This window comes from Homo sapiens, chromosome 1 (genome assembly GCF_000001405.40).
Source record: "Homo sapiens chromosome 1, GRCh38.p14 Primary Assembly".
NCBI classification, from domain to species: domain Eukaryota; kingdom Metazoa; phylum Chordata; class Mammalia; order Primates; family Hominidae; genus Homo; species Homo sapiens.
In genome coordinates, this window is record NC_000001.11 from 163,153,432 (window position 1) to 163,174,358 (window position 20,927).

The 20,927-nt window shown below is 37.8% G+C and overlaps 1 protein-coding gene and 1 long non-coding RNA gene across 13 annotated transcripts in view; one reads left to right on the forward strand and one right to left on the reverse strand.

The window, feature by feature from the left end:
• Positions 1 to 20,927, reverse strand: part of RGS5 (regulator of G protein signaling 5) — a 179,437-nt gene that overhangs the window by 11,133 nt on the left and 147,377 nt on the right. For 11 of the 12 annotated variants that reach the window (NM_001254748.2, NM_001414472.1, NM_001414477.1 and 8 more), the window contains 2 exons: positions 14,827 to 14,937; positions 8,484 to 8,545 (listed from right to left, as the gene is read on the reverse strand). The exons of the other annotated variant lie outside the window; for it this stretch is intronic. Coding sequence is in view for 7 of the 11 variants with exons in the window: in NM_001414472.1 (NP_001401401.1) it covers positions 8,484 to 8,545; positions 14,827 to 14,937 (173 nt within the window). In the remaining 4 variants the exon portion in view is untranslated. The remainder of the gene's footprint in view (positions 1 to 8,483; positions 8,546 to 14,826; positions 14,938 to 20,927) is intronic. 12 annotated transcript variants of the gene reach the window in all.
• The window catches only part of RGS5-AS1 (RGS5 antisense RNA 1), a 51,349-nt gene continuing 38,665 nt past the window's right edge, over positions 8,244 to 20,927 (forward strand). The window contains exons 1-2 of the long non-coding RNA NR_110699.1: positions 8,244 to 8,410; positions 9,355 to 9,445. This is a non-coding gene — a long non-coding RNA (RGS5 antisense RNA 1). The remainder of the gene's footprint in view (positions 8,411 to 9,354; positions 9,446 to 20,927) is intronic.

Below are 20,927 nucleotides of genomic sequence, written 5' to 3' on the forward strand. Positions count from 1 at the left end.
TCAATTTGAGACCCAAAGGATGAGTGGGAAAGGGCCAGATGAAGTTACCCCATGTAGCGTACTTACCATGTCCATCAATTATACATCAGGTTTCTTTAACATGTTAAATGCAATATGATTATAGCTATTATGATTCTGTTTCCAGTGTACAATTGCTCATGTAGGATAAACTTTAGTTTATAATTTAAAAATTATATCTATATATAATATGTAGATATTTTAGTCTATATAGATATAGATATAGCCTATTATATATAGATATAGTCTTTAATTGTAAACTAAAACTATAAGACTAAAATTATAAAACTATGTATATGTAAGGATTCTTGGGCCTGATCCAATATTTTCCTTCTCCTTAATGCTGAATATATATGTATTATTCAACATATATTACACACATATATATATATAAACCAAAATTCTAAACAATGTATGGCTATAGGGAGAGAATTCATGTTCATTTATTATCTAAGAAAAATAAAGATTTCAAACAGGAGGAGAGAGAAAAACTCTAATTTTCCAGAAGCTGTGTCAAAATCACAGACCTACCCTCAGTAACATGTTTCGAATGTCACTTTGCCCCCCAGGGCAGAAGGAAGGATTATTGTCACCAGTACTTTAGGGTCCAGTTTTCTCTAATTTGCCCCCACCTGGAAACACTTCTGCAATACATTAGTTCTGCTTAGGGATCATATTTACGTTCTGAATTCATTTCCTTTGGCCTAATTTTCATTTATTCCTTTTACCTATTCTTTTTATAGGCTCTAAAGTTTTATTTATTAGTCATTGCCAATACGTTGATTTCACACAAGCATAAAACGTATGCAATGATAAAAACAAAGACGCTATATATAGTTATCCATTTTCAATTTACCTCCTGTATATTTTTACTCTTCTCATACCCTTCACAGTACCCTGAAACCATACCCAATTTTAAAGAAAAAGAATGGCTAGGATGATCGTTAACTTGTGTTAGGGTCACCATCAATTTCAGGATCCAAGAAAGACACTTTGTAATTTGATCCCTTCTTCCTGTACTTACCCTAAATACATTTTTAATTGATTAACAATAAAAATATATCTAGGAGCAATGGTAGGTATAATAAACAATTTTCAACACTTGTGAAAAGAAGGGAAAAGGAAAACAAGGAAAAAAAAACCAATTTTTTCTAGAAACTTGGCCAGAAGAATTACTTTAAAACCATTTGATAACCTGTAACTGGATAAAATCAGGTGTATTTTCTCTCTCTTCTAATATTTCCTACTATATTTCCAGCACTATTTGTCTTAACTTAGTGACACGAGAGTTAGCATAAGTGCTAAAAGAAAAATATAAAACTTATTTCTCTCTGTGTCATGGTTAAAACGTCCATTTTAACCAATTTAGTTTATAATTTAAAAATTATATCTATATATAATATATAGATATTTTAGTCTATATAGATATAGATATAGCCTATTATATATAGATATAGTTTTTAATTGTAAACTAAAACTATAAGACTAAAATTATAAAACTATGTATATGTATATATGTATATGTATATAAAACTATGTATATGTCCATTGTTTCTTAAACAAAAGGTGTCAGATAGTCTCTGTCAAAATGAAAACATTCTCAGGCATGTTTTAGCTTCCAGGAAATGAAGTCTTATGAGCTCCCACACAATAAGGTCTAAGACGGCTGGAGGCAAAAATAATTCCACAGAATAAGTCTGTGACAAATTTATTCTAATTAGCCCCATATCCCCACAACCTATCTCTGAATCACCCATTCTGCATCTTTGGAAAGCATAGGGACAAAATCTCAGTCCTCCCAAACATTCTTATTTATGACACGGGGATGTATGCCGGGATTCCACAGAAATATTCACATTTACTGACTTTCCAGGGAATAAGCTTGCAAAATAACTTTTCTGTGCAGCAAGTCCATTTCCTGGATACTAATTTTGTAACTTTCATTGAATTCCACAATATTCTTTTAACCTTTTTGTTCATGTATAACTCATAAAATAGCTTTATATTGTATTCGTCTGCAAGATGTGTAAAGCTATTCCTTCTCTAAATCTGTGCACCTGGCTTTTGGGCACTCTCTAGAGGGTCCCTCTAAAGTGACCCCTGAGACTGCTTCTCCTCTTTAGCCTCTGGTTGTCTGTCAGTTCCTTCCTCAGCCACTATCTCTGTTTAGTTCCTATCACCCCTGCGGACAACCTATTGGGTCAGAGTCAAACACAATCCAGGCCAAATGTCTCTATTCTGCAAAGAACACACATTTCTTCTTTGCCCTACAACCATTCCTCTACCCACTCCAGTAGAGCCTCAGCACACCTCCCTGACAAATCACCACATTCTTCCCTGCTGAGCCTGCACAGAGCGTCGGAGTACCTCTCAACCCACCTCGCCAGGCATCCACTCTCTAGAAAGCCAATGAAACCCACCTGATTATCTGGTCTTATGGAAACACTCCAGGTTGTAATCTACATTACAATTCCAGAGTTCGCCCTAATGAATGGTGTCACTTTTGACATCCATGTAAACTAGCAGCCAGCCCTACCTAAGAACAAGATGAAAACACCTATAAAATCACTTTGAAAATTAAAGGAGCATTAGACAAATCCAAGTCAGTTTGCTACAAAGGAAAAATTATTAAAAACTAGATTAGTGCAAATCTCTTCAACCAGGGGGGATAAAAATGAAGTCATTGATAGTTGATAAGCACCATTTCTAGCTTATTGGTTAAAAATTATATTACTGCAATAACTTGAGCAAGTCATCAAATCTCTCTGAGACTGTTGCATCATCTGTTCAATGGAGATACTAATGGAACTTATCTGATGGGGTTGTGCTAAGAAATAAATAATTCATATAAAATTCTTACATGGTACCTGACATAATTATTATTATGTAGCTCAATACATGTTGGTGTTCATTATTGTTATTCATTACAAATTTAAAATTAATCTTTTAATTAATTCAAAGCCCAACTCCAATGTTGCCTCATCTGTGAGGTAGCCTTTACTTACTACCATCGACTTGCTCTTGAAGATTTTTATCATTATGAGAGAAGCAGTCACTTTCTGTTCTTTTGTTGGGATTGTTTGCTTCTATATCTTTTCCATTAGGCTGTTAATTCTTTGAGTATGTTTCACCTGTTTGCCTCTCTTTTGCATCCCACCTCCCAGTCTAAATCTGTGCACCTAACATTTAATAGAGGTTCCCGCAGAAATAAGACACATTCAGGGAAGCATTTCCTTCCAAGTGACAGAATCAAAGAACACTAACTTTAAAAAAATTAATTATGGATTTTGCTGCTGTTATAGCATTTTATTTCATGGGCAAGTTACCTAATTCCCCTTAATCTCAATTTCATTTTCTGAAAACTAGGGATTGTGATGGCACTCAAGTCCTAAAATTATTGCAATCATTAAATTAACATATGCAAAGTGCTTAGAACAGTGCTTGGCACATGATGAGTAATAAGTGTTAGCTATTGCTTTTATTATTATAATAATTATTTTCAAGGAAATTATGGTTGCCTGTGAGGAAGATGATGACAAAAATGAGCCAGAAAAGAGAAGGAAGAAAACCAAAGAGAAAGAAGCAAAAGGGGAGTGCAAAGATAGAAACAAAAAGATGTGTCTGGATTCAGGCTCCTTCATTTCCCATGGACAAATCTAAATCACAAGGGTGTCTCAAGGAGATGCTCTGGCCTTCTGAAACTCCTAGGGAAGGGAGATCCACATAAAAACTTTGCTGCTTCTGGCTTGTTTCATTCTTCTCTGCTCTTAAAAATGGTTGTGGGGAACTATTAAATGTCACTCTTATTTAAACTCCCATGTGAATTCTATTTTTGTGTTTGAAGAACAACACACTGTTTATACGCCCAACGTGCCTATGAAATGAAAACAGATGGTGCCACCTAAAGAATTGAAGGCAAAACATGTAGGAAGTTGATATACTTTCAGAACACAGTCACATATACTGGATGATTAAAAATTATTTTAAAAATGAAGGAAAGTGAGAAGAACCTTGTTAGAAGAGACTGAGTAGCAACTTAACTGTCTTATATTTTTTAGAAGCTTGGTACCAATTAACTTCATTGCCACTCAATAAAAATTAAAGATATGAATGTAAGGAATTCTTGGGGAACTATTTAACACATCAACTGTGAAAGTCAATATCCTACATTAACATAACAATGCCAAATTTCCCTTATAAATTGACAAAGATGCTACTCCTCAAGGTTAAATGGTTTAAATTTATCAAATCAAACATGCAAAAAGAGATGGTGGTTTGTCTTGATTTGTTTTTATAGCAACAGGGTCTCTCTCTGTGGCCCAGGCTAGAGAGCAGTGGTACTATGCTGGGCTCAAGCCATCGTCCTGCCTCACACCTGGCTAATTTTCTTTCTTCCTTTTTTCTGTTTTTCAGAGATGGGGTCTTTTTATGTTGCCCAGACTGGTCTTGAACTCCTGGCCTCAAGCGATCCTCCTGCTGCAGCCTTCCAAAGTGCTGGGATTACAGATATGAGCCACCACACTTGGCCCCAGTTGTGAAGTTTTAGATGTATATATGTCCCAAATGTATCTTTCTTCATTACCTGTTTTGCATCAGCCACAGCTAATGTTGGGTAATTTCTGATTATAGACTATTAGTTTTTGTGGATTCAAATAAGAACTTCTCATAAGAACTGATTTGTCAGTTTGGCTTACAGTTATTCATGGTATTCTATAGCTGATGTCTGGGAAAATAGGTCAAATATTGTCTCTTCAGGTCAGTGATGTTGGAGTAGAATTATCTGGGCAAGCCTGGCATTCCACTGGTTCTTCTCTAGGAACAGCCAGACAGAGAGAAGCAAAGGGCAAAGACAGAGTGGCAAGAGAGACACAGAGAAAGACAAGTCATGGGGAGAAGCAGAGACAGATAAAGAAGAAGAGAGCAATAGAGTGATGGTAAGAGTAGAGAATTAGAGAGGGGTATCGGGCAAAATTCACCCCCGATATTTCACGTAGCTTCTTTTCTATTTTCCCTAAGTGTCAGCTGGTCTGAGAAATAAAGGGACAGAGTACAAAAGAGAGAAATCTTAAAGCTTGGTGTCCAGGGGAGACATCACTTGTCAGCAGGTTCCATAATGCCCCTGAGCTGTAAAACCAGCAAGTTTTTATTAGTGATTTTCAAAAGGGGAAGGAGTGTATGAATAGGGTGTGGGTCACAGAGATCACATGCTTCACAAAGCAATAAAATATCACGAGGCAAATGGAGGCAGGGCAAGATCACAGGACCACAGGACCACAGGACCGGGGTGAAATTAAAATTGCTAATGAAGTTTCGGGCACGCATTGTCATTGATAACATCTTATCAGGAGACAGGGTTTGAGAGCAGACAACTGGTCCGACCAAAATTTATTAGGCAGGAATTTCCTCATCCTAATAAGCCTGGGAGCGCTACGGGAGACTGGGGCTTATTGCATCCCTCAACTACGATCATAAAAGACAGCCGTTCCCAAAGCGGCCATTTCAGAGGCCTCCCCTCAGGGACACATTCTCTTTCTCAGGGATGTTCCTAGCTGAGAAAAAGAATTCAGCGATATTTCTCCCATTTGCTTTTGAAAGAAGAGAAATATGTCTCTGTTCCACCCGGCTCACCGGCAGTCAGAGTTTAAGGTTGTCTCCCTTGTTCCCTGAACATTGCTGTTATTCTGTTCTTTTTTCAAGGTACCCAGATTTCATAGTGTTCAAACACACATGCTCTACAAACAATTTGTGCAGTTAATGCAATCATCACAGGGTCCCGAGGTGACATACATCCTCCTCAGTTTATGAAGATTACGGGATTAAGAGATTAAAGTAAAGACAGGCATAGGAAGAAAGGGTATTGATTGGGGAAGTGATAAGTGTCCATGAAATCTTCACAATTTATGTTCAAAGATTGCAGTAAAGACAGGCGTAAGAAATTATAAAAGTATTAATTTGGGGAACTAATAAATGTCCATGAAATCATCACAATTTATATTCTTCTGCCATGGCTTCAGTCGATCCCTCCATTCGGGGTCCCTGACTTCCCGCAACAGAGGGGAGAGACTGTCTCACTTACTGATGGCTTTGCCTCCCAGAGGGCATGGCTTGCCTTTGTTTCTGTGAGGTCTCCATACCATAACCCTTCTTTTTTAGTTGGGCTACTTCGAATGGATTAGTGTCCCTTTCAAGGAAAGCATTGACTAGAATAGTTATAAATGCTTTCTTATTTGTTGCTTTAGGGAAATTAATTGCCCAGGTCTTAAAAATATTAATTACTTAAGAAGATAATTATGTGGAACTTATATATAAACACACAGGCAAACACACACAGGAATACATACACATACATACTACATACACATATATACACATATATAATTTCAAAATGCATATATAAGTTAAATGAAATATTGTGAATATTATATATATACACATACATACATGTGTATACACACATACATACATGAACACACACAAGTGCATGTATATTTTCCCCTCTGAGAAGTAGAAAATATTACTGTGAGGCTCTTGGGCCTCAATCTCAACACGATGGTAATCATCTGTTTGCAAGCTGAAAATCTTCAGTCCTTCAAACACTAACTGCCTCTAGCTTAACTCTCTTTAACTCTATCTAACCCTAGCTTTCTTATTCTAGTAGCTCTCTGTCTCCTAAAAGCCTGAAATATATAGACATGTAGCCCTAAGGATTTAGTGTGACTGAAAAGGATTATATATGGGCACATAAATATTTATTCTTCTCCTTAAAGGTTTTGAAAACATGAAAATAGTTCTGCTAACTCTCAGGTTTTTTGACAATAGCAATAAATACCTGTGCTCAGAGTACTAGTATTCATAATTTATCAATAGGTCATCTGTCAATCTGCTATTGGCCCAGAAACCACTAAGGCAAGACAATAAGTCCATTAATAAACATAAATATTATTCTACTAGTTGACCTTGTGGAATTTCTAGGTCCAAGAAGCAAAATGAATTTAGTTCATTCACTCATTCACTACATAACTATTCACCAAACATCTTACATGTGTCAGGGCAGGGTACTTTGTTTAGCACAAGAAAAAAAGAGAGAGAATCAGAAATGAATAAGCTAGAGAAAGTTCCAAATTAGAGACTGTGGGGTTCTGTCTCCAAAAATAAAAGATTAATTCTATTGCAGGTAAGCAGAAGCTTATGACACCAAAAGCAAGACATAAGGAATGTTCATATACAATTCAACATATATTCTTTGTCATCTACTCTGTGCCCATTAATCATAATGGTCTTGTGAGAAATATTTTGTAAATCCTTATCTTTGCAAAGCATGTGACAAAGTTTCATATTCCATTCTTGTTATAAAGATGGAGAAATATAGGTAGGGTATTTTAAATTGACTCATACTTTTAGAGTGAATTATTCAACAAATATTTGTTTTCCCGATACTATATACTTCCTGTTTTGAAATTATCTACATGAAAAAGACTAATTCTTGCCCGTTTGTGAGTTTATAACCTATCATAGAAGTGAGCCAACTATGAACAGAACATAAGGCAGCAAGTATTAAGTAGAATAAAAGATGTGCAGACAAATGACTTTGGAATTTCAGAGGGTGGATAAATTGTTCTGGATGGTCAAGGAACACTAGGCATTTCTTATTTGAATTATCTATTATAGGAGAGGGAGAATTTCAAGAGAGAGAGATATGAGTAAAAGATATTCCAGCCAAGGGGATTATATGTAGAAATCCTATATGGAACAGAGAACTGTTCAATTTGCCTGCAGACCGGCCATATAGTTATGGTGATCTTGAACATCAGAAATTTGAACTTGGTACTGTAAGCCATGGGAATCAGTAAGGATTTTGGATTGGGGAAATGCACCTAGTGCTTATTGATGCACTGGTATTAGCTTGGAAAAGAGTCTGCACTGATCAGCACCTTTGTCATTTCTTGAATTAAGATGTAAAAGGCATGGTGCCAGAAGAGGAAACGGAGGCTGGGGGAGATAACAACCCATGTCAGGTCACAAGAGCAGTTGACAGTATAATAGTTTGAACCAGGATGTACTACTCATGACTTGTTAGCGATCTTTATGCTGCTATATCTGATCTTTATCAATTTATTATGAGGCTAAGTCAGGAAATGTAATTTCTCTATTTTACTGATGAGAATGTTGAGGAGGTCAAGCCACTTGTTCTGGCTCATGCAAGTAAGCAGGACAGATGGGAACACAACTGCAATCATGAGTCTTCAGAACACCTTATGTTCACATTCCCTCATAGTGCCACAGACCCTCCTTTTCTTGTGAACTGGATAATCACATACCTGCAGCCCCCTTCCCTTATTGATATCACCTTCAAAAATTGAAGAAATGTCAACATTGGGGAAGAAGAACACAGGTAATACAAAGATGTTTTTTGTTTCTGTCTCTAACCTGACCTTTATTTAAAAAAACAAACAATGGAAACTTACAGTTGTTCTGCAGGAGTTTGTCCAGGGAATCACGCCACTGCAGGGCCTCGTCCAGCGAGGTTCTACATCAATAATAAGGAGAGAAAAGGGGTATGGCGTAAGTAGGCATTGAACCACATGTACCAGCAATAACTACTTCCTGTTTCTCTTAGATGGAAATGATATGACTGCTGGTCTATCCTCAGGACAAGGAAGTTTAAGTTATTTTCTCTCTAACAATTGGGTTTGATGAGCTGGGTTTGCTTTCATACATCTTTATTGCATATCTTCATCTTTTTTGAACATTTTGGTTAGGTCTTTCCCTTTTTAAAAGTAGAGTTCGTTTGACATTAAGCTGTGTCTTGATAGTCTTATGTATCCCATGAAAGTTGTTCCAACTGTGGTCTTTTTTCCAAATATAACTTCATGAAATCCAGTTGTCCCATTACAGAGATTGAACTCCTGTTCTCTGCCTCACCAATACTGCATGTTAACCACCTAACTGAATCAGCAGAGGGCATTGGGGTTCCACATCCACATCCCAAAGCTGTCTAATTAAGGATAGTGGAAGATGTGAGTGTATAATGCTTTCCTTATGTTGGGATTGTGATCATAGCAAATTTACATGTTAAAAACGTAGGCGCATTTTTCCTACCCACTTATAACAGGATCAGACTTTTTTTTAAAGATTTACTCTTTCTAATTTAAAAAAAAAAAGAGTGGTTAATATATCCTGAACAGGAATGTTATACACAAATGCTTGAGATGCTGACTCAAAAGGAGAAGGTTATAGCCAACATATAATTTCTCCTTAGGCTGTTTCTATTTTAACATTTATATATGCAGAAACCCTGAAGCTATTTCATCTCAACCACCAATTTTTCTCTCACAGCAGGATGTGTCAAGTGGAGCTGATATTGTCCGGGAAAAATGGCTGACTGCACACTCTTCGGCTCACCCAGCTCGAACTCTTGCATTATGATGTGAGTTCTTCGTTGCCAAATCAAAACAGACTGACAAAGCATTTACTAGAATATTAAGGCCAGTTTTTCCTAAACTGGAATTTCCTTAGCTCTTAATTTGTTTATCAACTGTCCAGGCAATCAAAAAAAATTCCTGCTTCTAGTTTTTATACAATGATATTTCGGGGGGGGGGGTGGTTAATTATTCAGATTTGCAGCTTTGGTTGATATGACAGCTGCTTGTTCTACTTTTCATTTTGCTGTCCCAGGCGCAGAATCAGCCTCACTTTATTTATGTAAGGAGTCCAAGACGGCAGTAGGTTTTGGGCTAAAGTATTGTGAATAATCCCTTTACTTCTCTATTCCTCATTGCAGAACATGCATCGGTTGTGAGTCCTGATTATATGATTTTTCATAAACTTTCATGTGTTCACTCTTTGCAAGTTAAACTTGCCAAATTGAGGGTAACAAACCTTGTGAAATAATCTTGGGTGATTTCTGTTTTGCTGGCTAGAAATACAGGCATCATAGATGGAAAACATACTGATGCCTCAGAAATTTATTTCTAACACGTGAGCTACCCATCCCTCTTCCCATTTCCTCTGGCTAGTATAAAGGAGCACACAAAGAAAAAAAAATGGCATGAACGGGGTGATTATAATTATGTCTCTATAGCATTCTTGTTCATTTTATTTCTAACCAGAAAAGGACCTATCTACTAGAGGTCAATAACTCCTCTTGGCTCTTTTATATTACTGCAAGTGGAGAACTGTTTTATGTACATATTATTTCATGCCTACATGTTTAGCACAAGGTCTTACACATCTTACCTTCTTCACTATAGTAGGTTCAATATTTTGCACACAATAGACACCCACCAAGTCCCTATTCATTGTTGACAGAAGCAGCAGGACATTAAATTATTAGACAAAAGAAAGTAGCTCAGAGCAAGAGGAAGGCTGATTTACTCACAGGATCTCCTGATTTTATAAATATTCTCATTAAATGAAATCACTTTCCTGCCCCACTTTTCCTCTGGTTAGTATAGAGGAGCAAAGGAAGAAGAAATGACATGAGCAGGTATACCAAACTTAAGCATGTTATCCAATCTGATTTTTCCCAAATGGCCTTGTTGGAACCAGGCTAATGGTCAATAACAGCAGCACATCACAGCCAAGATTAAATTCCTGAAAAGGAAATGTGCAGAGCCCGCTTGGGGGTGAAATTGGTCCAAATTGATTTAAGGGCACAGTCAAGTAGGATACATCCCCCACAGCATGAAGCCCAGCATTTTGATTACCAGCCTAGGAGTTAACAGAGGTTCATCCTGTCCTTATTCTCAGAATTTGCCAGTCCTCATTAGGTCTGACTTCATTGGAAACAAGATAGATGCAGATCTAAATGACCAATAAATGTTCTGGTTTGCAAGGTCATAGCTGACCACAGAGGATGGGTATGGAGTTTCTGTGCGTGGGAGTGTGGGGGAGAGAGAGAAAGCTATTTCAAATGAAACTCAAAATAAACATTTATAGAGATGATTAACCACATGTTTTATAATGCCTAGTATAAATGCCACCTGGCCCAGGAAGTGGCCATCTCTGCTGGAAGCGCTGTCTCTCTTTTTACTCTACTCTTACCACTTTTACTCACTGAATCTCTCACATGACAATGAGGCACTCACTGCCGAAGGGTATAGGTTGTCATGCACAGAGAACTTTTCCCATTTCACCCTATCCTGTGGTGTACCCTTACAGCATCAATCCACCTTGCAATAAATGTGTGTCAGATTAATAAGTAAATGAATGATGGTTTTGCCTTGAGTTAGCCTGGCTGATGAAAGCCACAAATAACCCCAAACTCAGATTTTAATGACCAGTCCCATGAACCATTATTACTGCTATTGGCAATGCTGGCACTTACTAGCTATAACCTCAAGTGCCTGTGGTTGGGTTTTTTGTTTGTTTTTGTTTTTTGTATTGTTTTGGTTTGATTTGGTTTTTAATCTGCGCAGTGCCTGGCACATACTTAAATGTCTTAAAAATGTTCTTACACATTGGTGCTCTTAACAAGGAAAAGAAAATTCAAGTTATTTACTGTCAATTAGATGTGCCTAGTCCCCTCTCCCTTCCTGCCCAACAGTACAGTCTGCTCATGACCAGGCTCAAGTTTATGAGCATTTATTGAGCCCTTACCTGATAACCAGTGGTGACCTGGGCATCACGGTTGGGCATACAGACTTAAGAACAAGCAAAACATGTCATTTTTTGACATCCATATGCGGGCCTGAAATTGTACATAGATCTTTAGTACTCACAACCAGGCTCATCCTAACCAGGTGAGCGTATGCAGGACAACTTTCTGTAACTGTTTTCCACTAGCACAGGCTAGGTACTGTTTATGTGTGGAGGTCATTCTTTAGTATAAAATGATCACTACAACAACAAACCAGAAAAAGGGGTTAAAAATTGCTGACATAGGCAGGGGAAAGGGAGACATTTATAATATAAAATAAGCTATATGAATATCTATATCAGCTCCTAACATTTTACAATTGATGATTTTGTAAGCCATGATAACAGTTATCACAAACTAAACCTATGTGGTTGGCTAATGTTGTCTATTGTTTCTCAGGAGGACCTACAGCAGAGCCTTAAGGAATGCTCACATCCAGAGGGTGAGCAACAGTGGGAGCACTTAGAGAAAGAGAAGGCAGGTGGGGAATGCGGGACTAGAAGTTAAGGAAGAGAGTTTTAAGAGTAGGTCAACTGGGCTGGGCGTGGTGGCTCACGCCTGTAATCCCAGCACTTTGGGAGGCCGAGGTGGGCAGATCACCTGAGGTCAGGTGTTCGAGACCAGCCTGACCAACATGGAGAAACCCTGTCTCTACTAAAAAATACAAAATTAGCCGGGCGTGGTGGCACATGCCTGTAATCCCAGCTACTCAGGAGGCTGAGGCAGGAGAATCGCTTGAACCCGGGAGGTGGAGGTTGCGGTGAGCTGAGATCATGCCATTGCACTCCAGCCTGGGCAAAAGAGCGAAATTCCGTCTCAAAAAAAAAACAAAAAAAAAACAGTAGGTCAACTGGTGAACTGTCAAATGCTGCAGACAAGTCACAGATGGGGCCTTAGAAACAACAGTTCGGGTGAGGTAGTAAGGTTGAAGCTGGTTAAGAAGGAGATACAGAAAAGACTGAAAGCCATGAGTACAGACTTCTGTTTCTACAGTTAGTCAGTAAAAGTAAGAGAAAGGCATAGAAGCAGGAGAGAAAGGCGGGAAGAGAATTTTTCAGCATGGAACATGGGTACCTGTTTGCTCCTGGGGAAGAGGGTCCACAGGGAAAAAGGGCTACTAAAAGTGCAAAAAGGGGAACAGAGCTGTCTTTAGGGGGTAGGAATATAAGCACTTATTTGTTTTTCTCAATGGTCCATTTTTGTTTTTAAAAGTGAGAACTCAAAAATACATGTTAAAAAATAGAAAATACTTTTAAAAAAACGGATTCTACTGATGTCAGTAACCCAAAGAATATGAGAAGGGTTAAAAATACCTCCAATCAAGAGAAGAATTATTTTCCCCTCTGAAAGAAGAACATGAGTTAAAAATACAGAGAAATTTTAAAGTGAGAGAAGAGAGAGAGAGATGGAGCTTATGCAGAACACAGTATTTCCTGTCAGATAAATGGCATAGAAAGTTGCCAAACATGAGGAGGTGGGATGGGGTCTGTGGATTCAGAAGAGAGTGGGAAACTTTTTTATTGGTCACTGTTGAAAATGCAATAGATACAGAATTATTCTCTAGGGATATGAAGGAATTTTCCAAAACAATTTAGGCTTCTGGAGGAAGAAAGGGGATGGAAGACAAGAGAAGTAAATAATCCAATAAATGGTCAGCCCCAGGGTTTCTTCCAGAACAGCTTCTCTCTGAATCCCTTTTAATCTCAACAGTTTAAGGGTCTATGTGAATGTTAAAGCAGAGATTTAAAGCAGGAAATGTAGAACTCTATTTTTTTAAAGTTAATACCAACGGATCAATAAATTGTCACATTGTTTACTTCAAAATAGATGTTTTGATCTGTTGCTGCTATGAAATGTGGTTCTTATTCTCCACTACCGCTTGGTGCCTGCTGCTCCACACTGAATTAGCTTCTCCTTTTCAAATGCAGAAAACGCAATTATGCCTCACTTCCTGTTTAGAATCACTTTGAAGTAATAAAAAAAGGAGGAATGGAAATATTCACTTAGGCTAATGGAAAAAGATTAAAAAAAGAGAAAGAATAACTCATCTCTTTATCTCCCAATCAATCCAGCTATGGTAAGTTGAGGTCATTTGGACAAAGGACAGGCTGGCCAATTTACACAAATATTCCATTTAAAAAGAGAAATGGAGGTTAAAGGGACTCCTATATTTTTACCACACTTCTGTGATATCCTCAAAGCTCTAAGATAGCAGAGCGAAGGAATTTGAATGCCTTGGCCTTTTCTTCTTCCCATTTTCCTTTCTTGATTTTTCATGGATATCTCTGTTTTAATGGGAAGATGGAGTGTATCTGTCTAGGTAGTGACAGTCTCTGCAGCTAGCAGGGATGATGATGAACGATGGGAATGCTGGGAGTCGTGTTCCTGAGTTAAAGCGGGGCCAATGCACACTGTGAGACCTGGATTCACTGCCATAACATCATGACTCTTTAGAAGTAATAGTTCCCTAGGATGCCTAAATTGACAGGAGGAATGTGTAGGGAGAGGAGAATGGGGATGAGGGAGGATTGCAGAAATCCAATCAAGAATATTAATTTATGAATTGGGAAAAATACCTGGTGTACATTAAATAGAAATAGCTAGTCCAGTATTCGTTCTTCACTTAAGTAACAGACTTTGTTCCTCTGTTGGAACTTGAGGGGCACTATCTTGGAGAAGGAACGATTAGGCTGAAATTGTCTGCCTTGTCCTTAGTATCTTTCTGAGGGAAATGTTCTCACATCACCCTGCTGAGGAAGCAGCTTTAGATAGTTCATCAGCAGGTAAGCATCCAGGGCTCATAATTAACTGGATCAGGAGTGGTTACCAAGGCAGTAAATGAGCAGGTATTTTTACCACACTGCTGTAGTGGCTGGTATCATTTTATAAGTATGGTCTGTCTATTTTATAAGTATGTCTGTCTCTCAAAAATAAGGCAGAGTCTTATCTTTTATTTTTTATGTATTCTGCCTGTATTCAATAAGATGCTCCAGACATGAGATAGTTGAGAAAAAAAAAAAGAGCTTCTTTGCAAACCAACTCTCTGAGGGCTCTTATGATCCTTAATGAGTAATTGAAGGGGGTAGTTCTACAGATGAGGAATGGTGCTAAACACTTGGAAAATAGCCATCCTCTGGAGGAAATGAGTGGAATCCATATTCATGACTCACTTCTGGGTCTTGGCTGGTTTCTCTGGCTTCTCATTGTACGGAATGACAAGGTCACCAACTGAGTCTGGCTTCTGGAGGAGAATTCCCAACTTGATCTTAATCTCCTTGGCCCTGAAAGAAGAGACACAAGGGGAAATGAGGACACCACATGTGCATACAGATTTTAAGAAGAGATTTCTTCCTGTGTCAGAGAAACAAAAATGAACAAAATCCCATTTCACTTTTATTTTTCTTGTGGCAGAAAGAATACTAATGCAGAAATTAGGATATATAAGTTCTAATAAATAGCATTTATCAAGCTCTTAGTATGTCCTTCATTAATTTGCACTACATTTTAATCCTCATTATTGTTTTATATGTGTTCTCTCATTTTATATCTGCAGACACTATAGTACTATTTCCATTTTGCAGATGAGGTCACGGAATGACAGGAGTTTAAATAACTTAAGATAACCCAGCCAGTATTTGGTGGAGACAGATGTGAGCCCAAGCTGTCTGATGCTAGAGTTCCCAGGTAGAACTCTGCATGCATTGCCTACTAGTCTTCTGAGGGCTCTGGTCTTCACTATTGTTAGATATATGACATTTGGAAAAAATGATCACTTTTTTTTATTATTATTATACTTTAAGTTTTAGGGTACCTGTGCACAACATGCAGGTTTGTTACATATGTATACATGTACCATGTTGGTGTGCTGCACCCATCAACTCGTCATTTAGCATTAGGTATATCTCCCAATGCTATCCCTCCCCCCTCCCCCTACCCCACAACAGTCCCTGGTGTGTGATGTTCCTCTTCCTGTGTCCATGTGTTCTCATTGTTCAATTCCCACCTATGAGTGAGAACATGTGCTGTTTGGTTTTTTGTCCTTGCAATAGTTTGCTGAGAATGATGGTTTCCAGCTTCATCCAGGTCCCTACAAAGGACATGAACTCATCATTTTTTATGGCTGCATAGTATTCCATGGTGTATATGTGCCACATTTTCTTAATCCAGTCTATCATTGTTGGACATTTGGGTTGGTTCCAAGTCTTTGCTATTGTGAATAGTGCCACAATAAACATATGTGTGCATGTGTCTTTATAGCAGCATGATTTATAATCCTTTGGGTATATACCCAGTAATAGGATGGCTGGGTCAAATGGTATTTCTAGTTCTAGATCCCTGAGGAATCGCCACACTGACTTCCACAATGGTTGAACTAGTTTACAGTCTCACCAACAGTGTAAAAGTGTTCCTATTTCTCCACATCCTCTCCAGCACCTGTTGTTTCCTGACTTTTTGATGATCGCCATTCTAACTGGTGTGAGATGGTATCTCACTGTGGTTTTGATTTGCATTTCTCTGATGGCCAGTGATGATGAGCATTTTTTCATGTGTTTTTTGGCTGCATAAATATCTTCTTTTGAGAAGTAAAATGACCACTTTTTACTGCCAGACCTCAGTTCCCTCATCTGTAAAATGATGACGTTATCCATCATTTTAGATGTTTTTTGAGCTATTTCCAGCTATAAAATTAAATCATTCCACTTGATTATTTATTTCTCTATAAAATTTTTGTTTCCAACTCCTTATCCATTGTTCTCTATGGCTGTCAGACTATCTTATGTGCAGTAAGCCTTGATAAATGAGTACTAATTGCCAAACAACAAACTACAGCAGAATTTACTGCTTCTTTGTATCTTCAGTATTTTAGTGAGTAGATATGGTCAGAATTCTGGGTACTCCTCCATCACGGGATGCAACTATTTTCACGCTCAGTTTTAAAACTAACCTTCTAATCTATCCATCACTTTATCACAATTCTATACTAGAAAAGCACCAGGCAAATCTTAAATATTAATCCATAGGACAAGTTGTTGAATATTGGGAGACCCAAAAAGCTACCCTTTCCCAGTCACCTTAGCACTTTACCCATGCTTTTAAGACAGGGTTCATCATATTGCATTATGGTCATTGACTTATGTTTCTGTTTTTCTACTTGGATATGAGAACTTTTTGATGGTAGGAATTTAGTCTTAAATACTTTTTAACCCCTGTGCCTAGCACAATGCTTGGCAATATAGTAAACATTTAAAAATATTTGCCAAAGTGAACTAAAAATATCTTGATTTTGTTCTTTACAAATCTGCTAACATTTACCTCCCAGTCAATGCTAATCATAACCAAAGTTTTAAAGAGATGTGGTGAAGTTCACATGGCAGCCAAATAGGATTTTACTATTGTACACATACTTTCCTCATTTGTTCACAGGGAGGCTGTGATGAGGCAATTTAAGTAAATGCCTAAGATTTGCAGTTACGGATATTAGGGAAAAAAAATGTAAGGAAACCTGTGGTAACTTATAAAAACTCCATAAATGCCTAATTATAACATATTTTCCTTTAGGCTAGTAAATATGGTTTTGAAAACTATGTTTTAGGAACAGTCATCTCTACAGTGTCATTTCCTTTTCATTTTGTTCTGCTTTCACTCTTTCCCTAAGACCCTCTCATTGACTAAAGCCAACTCAGGTCCCATAGTACCTCAGATCAAGCTCAGCACGGCATTAGGGTAAAAACTGGGACTGTTCTGCCGAGGGAGCTTATATAACATTGTGAATTAGAATAAGTGTCGCTTTAATTCCAAGTGTTGCAAGTTACTTAAATTATCTAATGTTTAGTTCTTTTGCCTAGAAATTTGGACTGATAAAATAGTATATCCTAAGACTTTTTGAGATGATTAAATATACTAATGCATGTGAGTCACTTAGCACAGCATTTGGCATAGAACACGGCTTCTTTAAAGTTAGTTCTAACTACACAATCATTTTTCCAACCCACCGCCCATGTTCCCTAGCTTCGAACATTACATTGAAACATACAAAAAATTCCCCGCAAGTTACTAAGGAATTACTACACCCACAACCTTCTATATTCTACCTCTGGGGACAAGAATTGCCAATTTTATATTTATCTGAAAAATGAAGAAAACATTAAGTGGGGAGGAGAAATGCATGCAATATTTGTGGCTACCCTCTGCTGACTAATGTGCAGTATTACAGTCAGAGATGCAAGGTGCACTAGGACACAGTATCCCACCCAGTCCGTGAAAACCTTCATCCATAATCCATATCCTCCTGGCTCCATAGGTCCCTCCCTTCCTGTGCACCCATCTGTGGAATCCATGCTGCAACTGTTTTCAGTTTCAACCTTGACACAATAGTCCACTCACCAATATTTAGATAACAATGATGTAATGAAAGTCTCTCATGTTTAGGTTTCTGTTTGGTTGGTTGTTTTGGTTTTAACTTTATCCCCCCTCTCAAATTTAGTTCCTTTTTTTTCTATTTCTTGCTCCATTTGAGCCTTTTGCTTTTGTAAAAGGCAGAAAAATATTTGTGTTTGATTTCCTGATGCAAGAATAATAGTTGGAGATTAAGGGATAATTAGAACAAAGAAATCGAATGTATGTAAAAGAATTATTAGTGACTTAATTCATTTATTCCTTACTGATTAACTCATTGGTCATGTTTACTGTGTCAGGCAGTATGCAGTAAATATACAAACACCATTAGGTTTGCTCCTTGCTTTCAAGGTGCTTTTAGCCCGGAGAGGTCTTAGATGTGGAAACAATCACAAACGGGTGCTTAAAGACAGACTGTCCAGAAAGCAGCAGAACTCTCACAGAGGAGCACCAGTGTCCACAACGGTAGATCAGGGGGAACTTCTCAGAGGAGGCAAATGTGGAACTAGAGAATGAGCAGCAGTCAGTCAGTTGGGCTAGAAAAGAATGAGCGTTCCAGAGGGAAGGGTGGGTGCGTGTTATTTTAAGGGATGTAAAAGTAGTTTGTACTGCAAGAGGGTGAAATGTGAGACAGCAGAAAGCCCATTCAAAGAAGTTACTCTGCTTCCCTTCCAGATAGAGGGATGGATGTTGGAGGGACCTCTATACAGTACCTAGCTTGCAGCAAAGTTGGTATGAAAACAAACAAGAGATAAAACTATTGAAAAGCGCCTTTCAAAAACTGTCTGTATTTAAAGACGTGGCATCCTATCATATGAACACAATGTATCTCACATTTTCTTTTACTATTTCAGAATGCATTTTCTGTGAAAACACCATTTATAAATGGTAGTTAAATGCTCAAGACATACCACAAAATCCTTTTAAAACCAGGATGAATCAGTACCCTACTACTATTTTATCTATATCACTGCTTAAATAGAGTTTTTTGTGGAATGATCTAGAAATCAACTATCATTTATAACATTGCCAAGAGAAAATCGTATTCCATTTCTTCAGAGCAGACTAACATACCAGAACATCAGGTTACTCTTTTCCTCATATTTGCCCTGGAAATGTAAGGGAGAAAAGATATTCAGTGCTTTGGAAAACACTTCTTTCTATGGCTTCAGTTTCTGGCTTGGTATAGGCTCAAGTATAGAGCATTATAAAGTTAAGAGTATTTAAGTTGTGAAGTCTATTAAATTTAATTAGGAGTTCATTGTTCAGGGAATGACTAATGTTATTGCATTTCTGCTCATACAACAGTAAAGTTTAAAGGCCGAGGAGCTGAGAAATGCTGAAGTTCAAATCACTTTAAACATTGCACTCTTTTCACAAGACTAAATAATGTTAGATTTGTTTTACTCCTCAAGAATCCCTGGAATATTATTTCATCCCCCGTTTCCCTTTCCTCCCTACCATAGCCTCACAGACATATGAAAATAAAACAAACCAAATGAAAAATTCAAACAAAACAATAGCTCCAGCTTACCAAACTATTTTCCCTTTATAGATAAACTTGAATGTATCTGACATTAATTTGGCATCAAAAACAACACCATCCAGAGAAGATAATTTTCTAATTTGTTTACAATTTCCTGCTTGGTCTCGGGCTCTATTTGACTGCACACTAGACATTTTTTCCTGGCCACATTACATTAATGCTCATTAACAAGAAACTATTTTTATCTCCTGTCATCTCTCTTCCTCCTCTTGTTATTCTTTTGTTTTACAAAGAAAAACTTGTTTTGAAATAAAATCAATTGAAAATGCTTGAGTTAAAGTTTAATTAAAGGCTCAGAGGAAGATAATTCTTTGTCTAGATGACTCACATTAGTGATTCCAAACTGAAAACGGTTTGAATAATTCTGGGGCTTTGCAGTTTTAAATCTGCTCCCTGTGTGGGTATGCTGGCTGGCTGGGAAGTCAAAACTCAAAAGGCCACGGACCACCTCAGTCCTTCCTGCTAGTGCGTGAATTTAATGGGTTATCACCTTAAGATGCATAAGTGTGGAAAACCAGCACAAGCAATCACTAAAAACAGAAACATGGTTAAATTTTGAGAAATACAATTATATTCCACCAGAATGTGTGAAGAACCAATTATATATAAAATCTTATACTAGGTGTTTCAAGGGTTACAGAGTTGTTTCTCGCTTCAGAGACACTTGGAACAATTGAATATAAAACACATATATGTAAACTGTATAGCAGATATTTTTCCAATCACTGATGAAGGTAGGTGGAGTATAAAAACAAAAGAACGTAGGCCTGGCACAGTGGCTCATGCCTGTAATCCCAGCACTTTAGGAGGCCGAGGTGGGTGGATCATGAGGTCACGCATTCAAGACCAGCCTGGCCAAGATGGTGAAACCCCATCTCTACTGAAAATACAAAAAAAATTAGCCAAGCGTGGTGGCAGGCACCTGTAATCCCAACTACTCGGGAGGCTGAGGCAGAGAATTGCTTGAACCCAGGAGGTGGAGGTTGCAGTAAGCCAAGATCATGCCGCTGCACTCCAGCCTGGACAACAGAGCAAGACTCCATCTCTAAATAAATAAATAAACAAACAAACAAACATAGACTGTAACCTCAAGGAGCCCTAACTTCCCAATGTGCAATGGGAGATATTATATACCTAAAAACTGCTCCTAATATATCCTCAGAGCCCTCTGAATTTTCCATTCATGGCATTTTTCAATTGGCATTTATATCTCCATATGTATATGTATATGCGAATATTGTCTATCTCTCCCATTAAAGTGTCAGGTCCCCAAGAGCAGAGTGAACATTTGTTTAGTTCACAATTACAGCTTCAGCACTTAGCACAGGG